This window comes from Homo sapiens, chromosome 11, assembly GCF_000001405.40.
Source record: "Homo sapiens chromosome 11, GRCh38.p14 Primary Assembly".
In the NCBI taxonomy this organism is placed as follows: domain Eukaryota; kingdom Metazoa; phylum Chordata; class Mammalia; order Primates; family Hominidae; genus Homo; species Homo sapiens.
Genome location: NC_000011.10, coordinates 85,827,634 through 85,843,641, shown reverse-complemented (window position 1 = coordinate 85,843,641; position 16,008 = coordinate 85,827,634). Strand labels below are relative to the sequence as shown.

At 38.5% G+C, this 16,008-nt stretch overlaps 1 protein-coding gene across 6 annotated transcripts in view; it reads left to right on the top strand.

Moving 5' to 3' along the window:
* The window catches only part of SYTL2 (synaptotagmin like 2), a 160,642-nt gene that overhangs the window by 11,229 nt on the left and 133,405 nt on the right, over window positions 1-16,008 (top strand). The gene's annotated exons all lie outside the window — the stretch shown is intronic.

Sequence of the window (16,008 nt, the reverse complement as noted above, 5' to 3'; positions counted from 1 at the left end):
GGCTTTCTCCACCTAGTTAGTGTCTAAATTTGATGGGACCCAAATATGCATCTTGGACCCAGCTCCAAGCCTGCACACACACACTCAGCATCAGTTAGATGGCTCACAGTCGCACCATGCCCCAAACTCATTATCTTCCACCCCCTCCAATTTGCCCCTCCTCCTCAAGGCTATGTTCCGTATTTAGTAAATGACACCAGCCTCCACTTAGCTTTTCAAACCTGAAGATTAGGAGTCATTCTAGACTGTTATTTTTTATTTTATTTTTATTTTTGAGACAGAATCTTGCTCTGTCACCCAGGCTGGAGTGCAGTGGCATGATCTTGGCTCACTGCAACCTCTGCCTCCCAGGTTCGAGTAATTCTTCTGCCTCAGCCTCCCAAGTAACTGGGATTTCAAGAGTGTGTCAGCACACCCAATTTGTGTTTTTATTACAGACAGGGTTTCACCATGTTGGCCAGGCTGGTCTTGAACTCCAGACCTCGAGTGATCTGCCCGCCTCGGCCTCCCAAAGTGCTGGGATTATAGGCATGAGCCACCATGCCTGGCCCATTTTAGACTCTTTAATTTTCCTCACCTCCAGATCTAAACAAGCTTCAAGTTTCAGCAGTCTATTGACAGATTCCATTGGCCACAGCTGGAACTGAACACATTCTACAGTAGATTTAACCGAGTCATTAATTTTCATCCAAAAGTATTTTGGATGATATTTGTTGAGCAGCTACTATGAGCTAGGCACTATGGTAGGCTCTCTCTTCACTGCCTCCTCCCTAGTACAGGTCCCAATCTTTCCTGAGTTGACTGATGAGATGGCTTCCTACCCAGCTATCCTGAATTCATTCCTGTCTTCGCATTCTTCCACAGACCCATTCCCTTGTTTAAGACCATAAATGACTTTCCACAGATCTCTTAGGAAAGAGTTTCTGACATGGCTGATAAGGCCCTCCAAGATCCAGGCCCACCCAGGTCTAGGTCAGGTCCCCTTGTTATATGCTCCAGTTGGGTTCCCCCAAAAACACCCTTATATGGGGGTTTTAGTGCAAGTAGTTTATTAGGGAGGGAGTCTTAGAAAGCTATGGTAGGAAAATGGGGAGATGAGGGAGGAAGAAAAGCCAATCAGGATACGCTAACAAACAAGTTATTGGGAGATGGGTAACTGGGGCTTGGTTTCACTGAGAACCCTGGGAGACAGGAGAAAATACGCTCAGAATTGTCTTACCCAAAGGGTGAGGAAGCTGGGTGGTTAACTCTCATTTATCATCAGTTGAGGATGGTCCTGAGGGCATCGATTCCCCGGCCCCAATAGCCTACAGGGGCTAACCATGCCCCTACCCACTGCAGGTCAGAGAAGTCCTCACTCAGGACTGAGTATTGAGGTGCTTACAGGAAGAAGCTAAGGGTTTGCCTGGTGAATGCTGAGGGGATATGGGCAGCCACTGGAGTGACCACAGCTTTCAGAATGCACTTGACCTCCCCTTTGTAGCTCTCCTTACCCTTGAAATGAACTCATTCAGTGTCAGTCTTTCAAGCTAATCTCTTAACTCTGTAAGGGTGTAGACCATGTCTCTCTGCTTCACCATTATACCACCATTGCCTAGCACAGGGCCTGACATGTAAAAGGTGGTCAGAGATATTTAGCGAATGTTTGGATAAATGAATAAATGATTATTCTTTCCAGAAAGTAAACCAGGCATGCCATACTGTGAGAATGCCAGAAAGTAGTACCTGACAAATAAGTTACACCTGTGTAATAAAACCTCTATGTTATTGTGACATCTGAATTCACATAAATCACTTGATTTTTTAAAATTTAACTTTTATTTTAAGTTCAGGGGTACATGTGCAGGTTTGTTATATAGGTAAACTTGTGTCATGGGGATTTGTTGTACAGATTATTCTGTCACCCAGGTACCAAGCCTAGTACCCGTTAGTTATTTTTCCTCATCCTCTCCCTCTTCCCACCCTCCATACTCTGATAGGCTCCAGTGTGTCTTGTTCCCCTTTATGTGTCCATGTGTTCTCATCATTTAGCTCCCACTTATAAATGAGAACATGTGGTATTTGGTTTTCTGTTCCTCCATTAGTTTGCTAAGGATAATGGCCTCCAGCTCCATCCATTTCCCTGCAAAGGACAAGATCTTATTCTTCCTTATGGCTGCATAGTATTCCATGGTGTATGTGTGCCACGTTTTCTTTATCCAGTCTACCATTGATGGTAATTTAGGTTGATTCCATGTCTTTGCCATTGTGAATAGTGCTGCAACGAACATATGCGTGCATGTGTCTTTGTAGTAGGACGATTATATTCCTTTGAGTATATACCCAGTAATGGGTTTGCTGGGTTGAATGGTATTTCTGTTTTTAGGTCTTTGAGGAATTGCCACACTGTCTTCTACAATGGTTGAACTAGTGTATACTCCCACCAACCTTGTATAATCATTCCTTTTTCTCTGTAACCTCACTAGCATCTATTTTTTGACTTTTTAGTAACAGCCATTCTGACTGATGTGAGATGATGTCTCATTGTGGTTTTGATTTGCTGATCAGTGATGTTGAGCTTTTTTTCATGTTTATTGGCCACATGTCTGTCTTCTTTTGAGAAGTGTCTGTTCATATCATTTGCCCACTTTCTAATGGAGTTGTTTTTTGCTTGTAAATTTGTTAGTTCCTTATAGATGCTGGATATTAAACCTTTGTCAGATGCATAGTTTGAAAATATTTTCTCCCATTCCTTAGCTGGTCTGTTTACTCTGTTGATGGTTTCTTTTGCTGTGCAGAAGCTCAATTTTTGTTTTATTGCAATTGCTTTTGGTGTCTTCATCTTGAAATCATTGCCTGTGCCTATGTCCAGAATGGTATTGCCTGGGTTGCCTTCCATGGTTTTTATAGTTTTGGGTTTTACATTTAAGTTTTTAATCCATCTTGAGTTAATTTTGATGTTAGGAAGGGGTCCAGTTTCAATCTGCATATGGCTAGCCAGTTTTCCCAGCACCACTTATTGAATAGGGAGTTTTTCCCCATTGTTGGTTATTGTCACCTTTGTTACAGAACAGGTATTTGTAGGTGTGTGGCCTTATTTCTGAGCTCTCTATTCTGTTCCATTGGTCTGTTTGTCTGTTTTTGTACCAGTACCATGCTGTTTTGGTAGCCCTGTAGTATAGTTTGAAGTTGGATAGCAGATCTCTGATATTTTTTGACAATACCCAGTTGAGTGCAAGCCCTCAAACTATGAAACTACTACAAGAAAACATTGGGGAAAATCTCCAGAACATTGGACTGGGCAATGCTTTCTTGAGTAATACCCCACAAGCACAGGCAAGCAAAGCAAAGACAGACAAATGGGATCACATCAAGTTAAAAAGCTTTTGCGCAACAAAGAATACAATCAATAAAGTGAAGAGATAATCTACAATATGGGCGAAGATATTTGCAAACTACCCATCTGACAAGGGATTAATAACCAGAATATGTAAGGACCTCAGGTGACTCTATAGGAAAAAAAATCTAATAATCTGATAAGAAATGGGCAAAAGATTTGAATAGACATTTCTTGAAAGAAGACATACAAATGGCAAACAGGCATATAAAAAGGTGCTCAACATCATTGATCATCAGAGAAATGCAAATCAAAACTATAATGAGATATCATCATCTCACCCTGTTAAAATGGTTTATATCCAAAAGACAGGCAACAACAAATAGTGGCGAGGATGTGGAGAAATGGGAATCCTTGTACACTGTTGGTGGGAATGTAAATTAGTACAACCACTATGGAGAACAGTTTGGAGGTTCCTCAAAAAGCTAAAAATAGAGCTACCATATGATCTAGCAATTCCACTGCTGGGTATATACTCAAAAGAAAGGAAATCAGTATATTGACGAGATATGTACACTCTTATGTTTACTGCAGCACTGTTTACAATAGCTAAGATTTGGAAGCAACCTAAGTGTCCACCAGCAGATGAATGGATAAAGAGAATGTAACATATATACACAATGGAGTACTATTTAATCACGAATGAGATTCAGTCATTTGCAGCAACATGGATGAAACTGAATATCATTATGTTAAGTGAAATAAGCCAGGAACAGAAAGACAAACATTCCATGTTCTCACTTATTTGTGGGGTCTAGAAATGAAAACAATTGAACTCATGAGAGTTCAACCATCCCCACCTCCCCTCAATCCCCCATACCCTTCCCATCCTCTGGTAACTATCCTTCAGATGGGCTTCAGATGTGCTGCTGGGAGGTGGGGATGGTGAAATTGAGAAAGCCTGGTTTGGAAAAGATCTGTTACGAAAGGGTGAATATCACTGTGGGATAGCAGACAGTAAAGTGTTCCATCATAGTTAGAAAGAGTGAATAAGACTTGCTATTTGATAGCAAAACAGAGTGACTACAGTCAATAATAACTTAATTGTACATTTGAAAAAAATCAAGAATGCAAGTTCCTATAGCTGTTTAAGTTTAAAAAGGAGGTAAAGTGGCATTTATTTTTGTATGTTCATGGGATAACTCATGAATATCCCCCATGTACATCATATGACTTTCTCTGAAACTAATAAACTTTGTGCTTCCCTTAAATTTTTAAATTTAAAAAGGCCCAACACAGTGGTGGGCATCTATAGTCTTAGTATTCTAGAGGATGAGGAGGATCCTTTGAGCCCAGGAATTTGAGGCCAGCCTTGGCAACATAGTGAGATCCTGTCTCTAAAAATAAGTAAATAAACAAATAAAAACTTGCTTTTAAATGTTTTACATCTTGATTGTGCTGTTGGTTTCATGAGTGTATAGATATGTGAAAACTCATATGACTATTATATATGTGGAGATATCTTTGCTGATATAATTTGGATATTTATCCCCATCCAAATCTCATGTTTAATTGTAATCCCCAGTGCTGGAGATGAGCCCTGGTGGGAGGTGTTTGGGTCACGGGGGTGAATCCCTCATGGCTTGGTGCTGTCTTTGCCATAGTGAGTTCTCTTGAGATCTGGTTATTTAAAAGTGCATGGCACCTCCCCTGGCACTCTCTCGCACTTGTTCCTGCTTTCACCGTGTGAGATACCTGCTTCCCATTTGCCTTCTGCTGGGTTTGGAAGCTTCCTGAGGCTTCCCTAGAGGCCAAGCAGATGCTGGCACCATGATTCCTGTAAGGCCTGCAGCATTGTAAGCCAATTCAACCTCTTTTCTTTATAAATTACCCAGTCTCAGGCATTTCTTTATAGCAAAGCAAGAACGTCCTAATACATACACCTATGTCTATATCTACATCCATATCTATATCTCCAGAGAAAATACCTTTGTGTAACGCAAAATATGGATACATACTATCTCCCAAGAAATAATATATTTCCTGCTGGTATCACAAGAATTTTTTTCTCTTCACAAATTCTTGTCCCAATGCTTATATTTGAGGGGGAAATACAGTATTACTTTTCATTATCACTTATTTTTGACACAGGTTTGTCAGAGGTTGACAGGTTTTAATAACAGTAACCCAGAACCACTAAAGGCTTAACAGTGGTTCTTAAACAGAGTGATTTTGTTCCCCCGGAGACATCTGGCTATGCCTGAAGACATTTTAAATTGTCATGACTGGGGAAGGGGTGCTACCGGCATAAATAAATAAAAACTTGCTTTTAAACGTTCTATAACATTTGTGAGTATAATTAGTGGGTAGAGGCCAGGGATGCTGCTAACCATCCTGCAGTGTACAGGATGCCCCCAACAATTGGCCTGAATTTCAACAGTACTGAGATTGAGAAAGCGTGGTTTGGAAAAGACCAGTTACAGAAGGGTTAATATCATTGTGGGATTGCAGAAAGTAAAGTGCTCCATCATTATTCACCTATTCTTCATATGCTCTTATAAATAATCAAGAGGCTCCATTCTGAGGGAGGACTAGTCATTATAATGTGTGTTCCTCCAGGGTAGAAATCAGATTTGGAGTCATAGCAGTAGCCAGAGACCCTGGTTCTGCTGTCACTAGGGCTTAATTCTGTTGTCAGCAATCATCAGGAGAGTAGCTCCATCATATGGCTTCCCAGCCTCATCATTTTGACTTAAAAAGGATGTATTCGGAAAAATAGGGGGAAGTATATTCTTCTGATAGGGCAGCCATAACAAAATACCACAGACTGGATATAAACAGTAGAAAGTGGTCCAGATTAAGGTGCCATCAGGGTTGGGTTTTCTTCCTGACTTGGGGAGGGCTTTCTTCCTGACTTACAGATGGCTGCCTCCTTACTGTGTCCTCACATTGCCTTTCTTCTGTTCACGTGGAGAAAGAGAGAGATCGCTGCTAGGTCTTCCTCTTCTTATGAAGATAGCAGTTCTACTGAATTGGGCCACACTCTTATACCCTTCATTACCTTAATTGCCTCCGTGAAGGCCCTGCCTCAAAATACAATCACATTGTGGGTTAGGGCTTCAACATATGAATTTGGGAGGATACAATTCTGTCTCTAAGAGGAGCATTACAAATAAGTGTGGGATATAATGATGACTGAATTTGGAGCCTGATTCTGTAAATGGAATGTTAGAAAAAGGATGCATATTGATTGCTTGAGGAGAACATTTGGAATTTTCTCTCCTCACTACTTTTTGGGTTAATTACAGAAAGGAGCAAAGGGTTGAAACCAAAACATAGTAAACAACTTTTGTAACAGTGAAGCCATGGAATGGGGTGGAGAAATAGTCATTTCTGAGGGTTAAAAATGCCAGAAGGAATATATGTCTATGTATCTAAATTCTAAATTACCTTGTCTATCTATTAATCATCTATCTATGTATCTGTGTGTGTGTGTGTATACACATTTCCAAACAGATCTAAGGTCACATTATGACTTTGGAGGCATAAAGTATACTAAGTATAACAAAGTTTGTAATAAAATATAATATGTAATATATTTCATATTTATTAGCTAGAAATATGTTTTCTTTCAATTACTAAGTAATTATTTTTTACTTCTCAACATATCTCTTTGTTATATCATATGTGTCAAGAGCCATCATGCATATCTACCCTGAGAAACTCTGGGATGTTAGAGGCCTGTTTGTCAGAGGGCCCTGGGGCTTTGGGAGAAATGGTAGAAGGGGGCATTTAGGGTTGATTACCATTATTCTTAATATATTATTATTATTATCATGATAATTTTACATACCTCATAGTGCCATACGTATATACATGTATGAGACTATAAGATTAGAGATTTCCAGTTAAACATGGCAAAGTTTATCTCCTCTTCCTACTGAAACCTCACTAAATGTATACGTGTATGGTGGGGTTGGGTAGGTGTGGGGTGTGGTGTAAATCCAAAAAGACAGAGAATTGGAAAGGAGACATCAGCAAATGGGAAATTTCAGAAAAAAAAATTTGGAAGGTAGAAAATTAGTAGAGGAGAGAAACAATGATTTTGAGCAGAAGAGGTTACTATGTGAGAACGCATAGAGAACACAGGACTTAAAGTGGTACCAATACCATGGAAGATAAGTGAGGTGCAGGGATTAGTTATATGTTTGTTTGGAGCTATTAGCACCAAAGGACCTCTTCCCCATCTCTTGATGCTATGCAGCTACCCTCCGCAGGTGACAGAAGACAAGTTCTCTGGAGACAATGAACCAGAGAGAGCCCAGACAGACTCAGGGATGCCACACATGTAGGGGTGAGGTGGAATTGAATTTATAGCAAGAGGCTGAAACATGCTGATTATGGGAAAATTCGAGTAATGAACAGTGAGATCCTCAGCCTTCTTTCTCAAACCTTGTCCCAGAAAGACCCTACTACCAAATAGCAACTAGACATATGCTGCCCTCCCCTGCAGGCAGGAGATTGGAGGCTTTTTCTCAAGAGAAAACACGTCTACATACTGACATTTGAAGCCTCCAATACAAGAAAGCAGTGAAGGAAATCCCATTATGATAGTTGTGCAGTAGATCTAGACAGTAATCACCCCAACTGGAGCAGGAGAGTTGGAGGGTTCTGAGAGGGATATTGCCAGGAAAACAATGGAGTAGAAAGATTATTGGATATATCTGAGTATTTGGACAATAATAATAGGACCTTGACAGGCCCAAATAAGCATTTGTATAGATTCACAGAAAACTGTGCAACTGAAAATAACAAGGCAAGTATTAACACTTGGAAAAATAAAAAGTTGTTCAAGAAAGGAAAAATAATCATAGTATACTACCTGGCTCAACACTGCATAATATTTGTATGCATTTTTGTTATATAAATAGTGACTAATTATTTAACCAAAAATTGGGAGGCTAGAGGATGGAGTAAGTGAAGTTAGAAGTTGTTGGATAACTTAATTCTCATCTACCATAACGAGAAATTAATTTAGTTTTTGTTAAAAGTGATATTTCAAATTAGTGAGAAGGAATGGTATATTTAATAAGCAGTGCTGGAATTTCCAAATGGAATCTATTAAAAATAAAAATTAGACCCTTATCTTAATATAAAACCCATATTTAAATAATTAAAGTACAGATATTCCTCAACTTATGATGGTGTTATGTCTTAATAAACCCATCATAAGTTGAAAATGTTATAAGCCAAAAATGCATTTAAGGGCTGGGTATGGTGGCTCAGTCCTGTAATCCCAGCACTTTGTAAGGCCGAAGTGGGAGGATTGCTTGCAGCCAGGAGTTGAAGACCAGCCTGGTCAGCATACTGACATCCAGTCTCTACAAAAATTTTAAAAAGTAGCCAGGCATGGTGGTGTGTACCTGTAGTCCTAGCTACTTGGGGTGCTGAGGTGAGAGGATCACTTGAGCCCAGGAGTTTGAGGTTATGGTGAGCTGATTGTGCCACTACATTCCAACCTGGGTGACAGAGAAAGACCCTGTCTCAAAAAAGAAAAAAAAAAAAGAAAAAGAAAAGCATTTAATATGCTTTTCTGAACATCATAGCTTAATCTATCCTGCCTTAAATGTCCTCAGAACACTTACATTAGCTTGCAGTTGGGCAAAATCACAGAATATAAAGCCCATTTTATAATAAAGTATTGAGTATCTCATGTAATCTATTAAATACTGTACTGAAGTACAGTTTCTACCGAAGGTGTATTGCTTTCACACCATCATAAAGTCATAAAATTATAAGATAGATATTATTAATTTGAACATCATGAGGTGAGGACTGTCTGTAATAAACATTTTAAGATAAGGGCTTTAAAAATAACCTTGGAATAGAAACAGCCTTCCTAAGCAAGAAACAAGCTGCAAAACCATAAAGAAAAAGGATGGACAGATTTGACTTCAAAAGAATGAAAAACTTAGAAGTAATAAGAAACAAGGTAAATAGAAGCAACAAACTTGGAAGAAAATATGTGCAACATATTTTAAGAAATAATGGATTAATATTATTTATCTAGCTACATATATACTTTTTATTAATAGTAGTCCCATTTTGTTCTTTTTCAATCTGTCTTATTTTATATTCTGAATGTGATAATATCTGCAGTATTTGTAGTTCTGATTCTATATTTTATTTTTTCTGTGAACTCTTGTGCATGGTAGCTTGTTTCCTTGTGTTTTAATTGCAAGTTCATGTTCATTGAAACCTTATATGTGAGAACTCTTTAAAACTTTGGCTGGCTGTGGTGGCTCACACCTTTAATCCCAGCAATTTGGGAGGCCGAGATGGGTGGATCACTTGAGGTCAGGAGTTTGAGACTAGCCTGGGCAACTTGGCGAAACCCCGTCTCTACTAAAAATACAAAAATTAGCCGGGCATGGTGACGTATGCTTGTAATCCCAGCTACTCAGGAAGCTGAGGCAGGAGAAAAGCTTGAACCCGAGAGGCGGAGGTTGCAGTGAGCCACGATCGTACCACTACACTACAACACTACAGCCTGGATGACGGAGTGAGACTCTGTCTCAAAAAAAAAAAAAAAAAAAGAAATCTTCGACTCAAAGGTCCTTTTCCTGAAAGTTTGCTTTTACTAACTAATTGCCTCAGAGCATTACCAACCCAGAACCACTTTGAAGGATATTTATGTGTGAGGTTTTCTTATGCTACACAGATTTGTGGATTCTGGTTCCAAACCTGCCTGAGGGCTGAACTTGTAGTTAGCAATTTTCCCCCTTCACTTCTCCCCAGTGTCCAAATGGCTTTCCCGTTATTAGTCTTGCAAATCTGATCATGTCACTTTCCTCTACTTAAAAACATATATACATATCATATATATAATCATATATATGTGATATACATATATATGATATATAGGTATGTATGATATATATATGAGATATATCATATATCTCATATATATATCGTGTATATATATGATATATATGATATATATTGTGTATATATATGATATATATGATATAATGATGTACCCAAATACCTACATAATGGAGTCTGGCAATGATAGATGCCCAATATGTTATATGATATAATTTTTTTAAAGGATTGTTTACATTGCTGCCTATTTTTTCTTTGTTTCTTTCTTTCTTTCTTTCTTTCTTTCCTTCCTTCCTTCCTTCCTTCCTTCCTTCCTTCCTTCCTTCCTTCCTTCCTTCCTTCTTTCTTTCTTTCTTTCTTTCTTTCTTTCTTTCTTTCTTTCTTTCTTTCTTTCTTTCTTTCTTTCTTTCTTTCTTTCTTTCTTTCTTTTCTTTCTTTTTTTTTTGAGACAGGGTCTCCCTGTGTTGGCCAGGCTACAGTGCAGTGGAGCAATCATAGCTCACTGCAGCCTTGACCTCCTGGGCTCAAGTGATCCTCCCAGCTCAGCCTCTCAAGTAGCTGGGACTACAGGCACATGCCACCATACCCAGCTAATTAAAATTTTTTTTTTTTGTAGATACAAGGTCTCACTATGTTGCCCAGGCTGGTCTTGAACTCCTAGGCTCAAACAATTCTTACTGCATCATCCTCCCAAACTGCTGAGATTAGAAGCATGGACCACTAAACTAGGCCTTAAAAACCTATAGACCAACTCATTTGTCTGGTCTCAGCTTGAACATTATTTCCTCATAAATACCTCCACTAACTGCCTATCGTGAAACTAAGTCAGATTTCCAATGCATGTTCTTATACCTCCTTGTACTTCTTCTCATAGCATTCATGACACTTGAATTCAATTATTTGTGTAGTTATATTTCAGTGACTCTCTTCATCACTGGCTGTAAAGTTACTGTTTTTGGGAACTTTGTCAACAACTTTCACTGCTATATGTCTAACATCTAACGTAGGGCCTGGTGCATATTTGTTGAATGAATACAAAAATGAATTAATAGTTTGGGAAATATTACCATGGAACAAACTTAGTTCCTAGCTCTGCAATGTTCTTGCTATGTAAACATGTCTAAATTATTTAATGTCTCAAAGTCTTGTTCATTTATAAAATAGAATTAGTAATACCCACCTCATATGGTTGTTATGAGGGTAACAAATGATGTACCCAAAGACTGACATAATGGAGCCTGGCAATGATAGATGCCCAATAAGTGGTAGCTTTTATTATTGTTTGCCAGATATGCCTCCTAAGTTCTGCAGAGTTGTGCCAACCAGTTTTTTGCACATATGCAATTTCAGCATACTCCTGTAGCATTTCAAATACAGAATAATGTAAAGAACTTTCAGCCCTTGATGAGTCACTATATAAAGATAATAATTAATGAATTATTCCAGAAATTGTCATTTAAAAGTGATACAGACTTAAAACTAGGTAAAATTTACTTTTTAAAAATAAGCCAGCATGATGGTTTCATGGATGTATACCTATGTCAAAATTTATTAAGTTGTACATTTTAAGTATGTGCAGCTTATTATGTGTAGCTTCCAAGTTTGTTCCTTATGTTTAGCTTATTTCTTATCACTCCTGAGTTTTTTGTTGTGGTCAAATCTGTCCATCATTTTCCTTTATGGCTTTTGCAGTTAGTGTCTTGATATGCAAACAATTGTACACATTTAATGTATATATCTTTATGAGTTTGGATATATGCATACCCTACAATACTATCACCACAACCAAAGTACTAAACGTATCCATCACCTCCAGAATTTTTCTTGTGTTTTTAGAAATCTGTTTTTTAAAATAGAAAAATATTAAGCCATCATCATGTATAATGAACTATGTGAATTAGTTCTGCTATTTAGGAGCAAGTTTGATCATTTAATTTTTTTTTAACCAAAAGGATCTATTTCCATTATTTGGCTTCAACTTGAGGACAGTTTAATTGTTTTTCAGATGGGTTTTTCTCTTTGAGATTTGCTCTGCAGTTTGACCATCACTGCTGAAACTCCACTCCTCAAATGTAAATATTTGCTGAAGGTTAATCTTGCTTTGATAGTACAAAAGCAAACTTTCTACATTTCAAAGTTGGCAGGTGCTTTTCACAGTGGTGCCCTGAAAAATCTGCATAATGCCAGTTTCTTTTAAAGCTAGTATCCTTCATAGATCTGATACTGGTGAACTTGAGCCTTTTTCTGAAGAGTGACTACTTAAGCACACAATTGATGAATTATGAGTATCCACACATGACTCAATAGTCTGTATTTCTGCTATTGTTAAGGCAGCAACAATCTTTATTATTTATTTATTAACACCCACTGAATACACTCAACTTGGGTTAGCCAGCCCAAAGACCCATGAATAAAACCCCAGGGCGTAGAACTGAAAGTTGATCAAGAGCAGGTGCTGCTTCCATGAATCTGGCGAAGAATTTTGAGATATAGTGGCCTAGTTTTTGTTGCCCCAAAGCTGACCCTAATGCAAGAACTTGGGATGTAGGTAGTTTTTTAAGGAAGTGATCCTAGGAAGCATAAATCAGGAAGTGGGGGAAGTGGAGAGGGAAGGGAGAAATGTTAATTTAAAAATGTGTTAATGAGTAAGTTTCTGCTGCAGGAAACTGGGGTCCATCTCACTAGGGATGCTGTAAGGACGCTGAAGGAAGAAGCTCCAAAATTGTCCCACCACAGGATAGAGAAGCTAGAGTATTTATCCACATATTCCTATCTTCATTGTTTGAAATATGTCCCTGAGAATTAGGGGCATCTGTCCCTTTCTCCCACCCCTTTGTGGGCTGAGCAAACTCTTGTGAGCTGAAGAAAGTCCTAGACAAAGACACAAAGAGACATCAGCCATTGAGATAGAGCTGCAGGTAAACTCAGAGGTTGGACAAGGGGATATGTCTGGAGCATAAACACCACATGCTGCATGGAAGGTTTAGGATCTTTGATGTGACAGATTTTCAATGCAAGGTGTCAATGAATGTGTAGTGGCATGGTTAAAGCAATGGGTTTATAAACTCTGAAGGAGTCCTTCACCATTTTTTTCTCAGAATGAAAATTGATGAAGTGCACAATTGGCTAGTCAACTCAGTTGTTTGGTATCCAGTAGACCATTGGTTTTCAAAGCATGGTCTCCAGTCCTGCAACATCAACATCACTTAAAATTAGTTAGGAATGAAATGAATAGGGGCCCACCACAGCCCTATTGACTCAGAAACTCCGGAGTGGTACTCAAAAATCTGTGCCAAGCCCTCCAAGAAATCTTGATACACACTGAAGTTTGAGAATGATTGATATTAGACAAAACACTGTACTGTGAGACGTAACTTTATCCCAACCACAGGGTAGTTAACTGTGTATAAAGAGAACTGTTTGGTTTCTGGTCTTAGTTGGATGTGAATATGGACCAATTAGTTGACATTTAGAAATTGTTTCCAATCTGTAAAATGAGAAGTTTGGATTAGTGTACTGCTGTTTCAAAGTTTTTTAAAGAAGTGGAATACCTACCTTCTTCCAAAGAAATTTTACTTGAAACATCAACCCTTATATACTAAAATGTCGGTATACAAGACATATAAAAACAGAGCTCCAGCATCATTAATCATCAGAGAAATGCAAATCAAAACTACAATGAGATACCATAGTACACCAGTCAGAATGGCAATTATTAAAAAATAACAGATGCTGGGGAGGCTGTGGAGAAAAGGAAACACTTATACACTGTTAGTGGGAATGCAAACCAGTTCAGCCACTGTGGAAAGCAGTTGAGAGGTTTCTCAAAGAACTTAAAACAGAACTACCATTTGACCCAGCAATCCCACTACTGGGTGTATACCCAAAGAAAAGTGATTCATTCTATCAAAAAGACATGTGAACTTGTATGCTCATTTCAACAGTACTCACAATAGCAAAGACATGGAATCAACCTACGTGCCCATCGACAGTGGATTGGATAAAGCAAATGTGGTACATATACACCATGGAATACTACACAGCCATAAAAAAGAACAAAATCATGTCCTTTGCAGCAACATGGATGGACCTGGAGACCATTATCCTAAGAACTGCATGCTATCACTTATAAGTGGGAGCTAAATATTGAATACACATAAACATAAAGATGGGAACAATAGACACTCAGGACTACCAGATGAGGGAGGGAGCAGGGCATGGGCTTAAAAACCACCTATTTGGTACTATGCTTACTAACTGGTGACCCAATCATTTGTACCTCAAACTTCAGCATCACATAATATACCCCCATAACAAACCTGCACATTTACCCCTTAATCTATAATAAAAGTTGAAACTATAAAACAAACAAACAAACAAAAAAAAAAAAACAGAGCTCTTTTTTGGGTATGGTGGCCCAGTATCCTGTCTTCTTACCTTCCCTAAGGTGGCTTCCCAAGCACCACTGTGGATCTTCAGGGTTTCAAGAAGTATAGTTTGAGAGCTACTGCACAGAAGACCAGGGTCCTACTGCAATATGATCTGAGACAGCAGGCAGACTTAACCACTATTTACTTGATGATGACATTAACATAGACCTGGGATCATAAACCTTGGGTTCAAGGCCTTGGCTGTACCCCTACTAGCAGGACAACCATGGACAAATCATGTAGTCTCCGTGGCCTTAGCATCCTCATTTATTAAATGGCATTGACTCTGATTCTTGTCAAACCTGTCTTAGAGGGCTGTTGAGAGGATCAAATGAAATCATGCATGTGATTATAGTTTATAAATTGCTAAGTCTTGTTTAGTTGAAAGGGATTATTGTGGGAGAAATTATCCTTCCAGGTAGTTTTCCTTTGTAACTGGTGCCAAAGATAGGTAGAGATAGACAGAGAATGTAAATAGTTAAATGGTCTGTAGTTTCTGCCTTATCTTAGAGGGATGCAAATATAATTTTCCTTTTTAATTAAAAACCTGTTTACTATGATGAGTCACTTAAGCAGAGACTTGAGTTAACCGGTTGAATCATTCTACAAAGCTTGTAAAAGTAATGTTTGAGTAATACTATCTAAAGAGATCATTTTTCTTAACCATTTACTGCCTACATACTAATAATTCAAACATATTTTGGAATATGTTGACCTTAGTGTTTGCAGCTGCTTGCATATGCAGAAAAAATTTAGTATAACATTAATTCATATTTATTTAGTTCATTTTTCTGCCAGATAAGTCTTCTGGGAGTGACTCATTCATCCACCACAGAGATGCCTGAGAAATACCAAACAGCATGTTTTATGGCTGTATTTTGCCATCAGGGAAGTTATAAATAATTCCTTGTGGAACTTTTAGAAGACAATCTAGTAGGAATGCCAAACGTAGTCACTACAGTTAGCTAGTAGTGAGGTTGAAGACCTATTTATTTCCAAACCCTCAGGATGGCAGAGGGTTAAGATAAAGTCTGAAAACTGTCATCCTAAGAAACAGATATTTGCCAGTAACTCTCAATGGCCACATTGAGGTTGCCTAGCAACTTTTTGTGAGTGTGTTTCACTTTGCATTTGCTAAACACATTCTTATCACTACCTAGATCTTCAACCTAACACTGTTGTACTCCAGTCAAAACTCTCTGAGTGGGAATCAACACAGACTTGACAAGGATTTTCTTATGACTACCCCATATCTGGGTGGAGGGGCTGTCAACATTTCTGAACCTTGGAGCTAGCTAGGAGACATGGAACAAGCTTCCTGTAAGTGTGCTCATTCACTCATTCAAAAAAGAGACAGATACCCAGAACTTACTATTT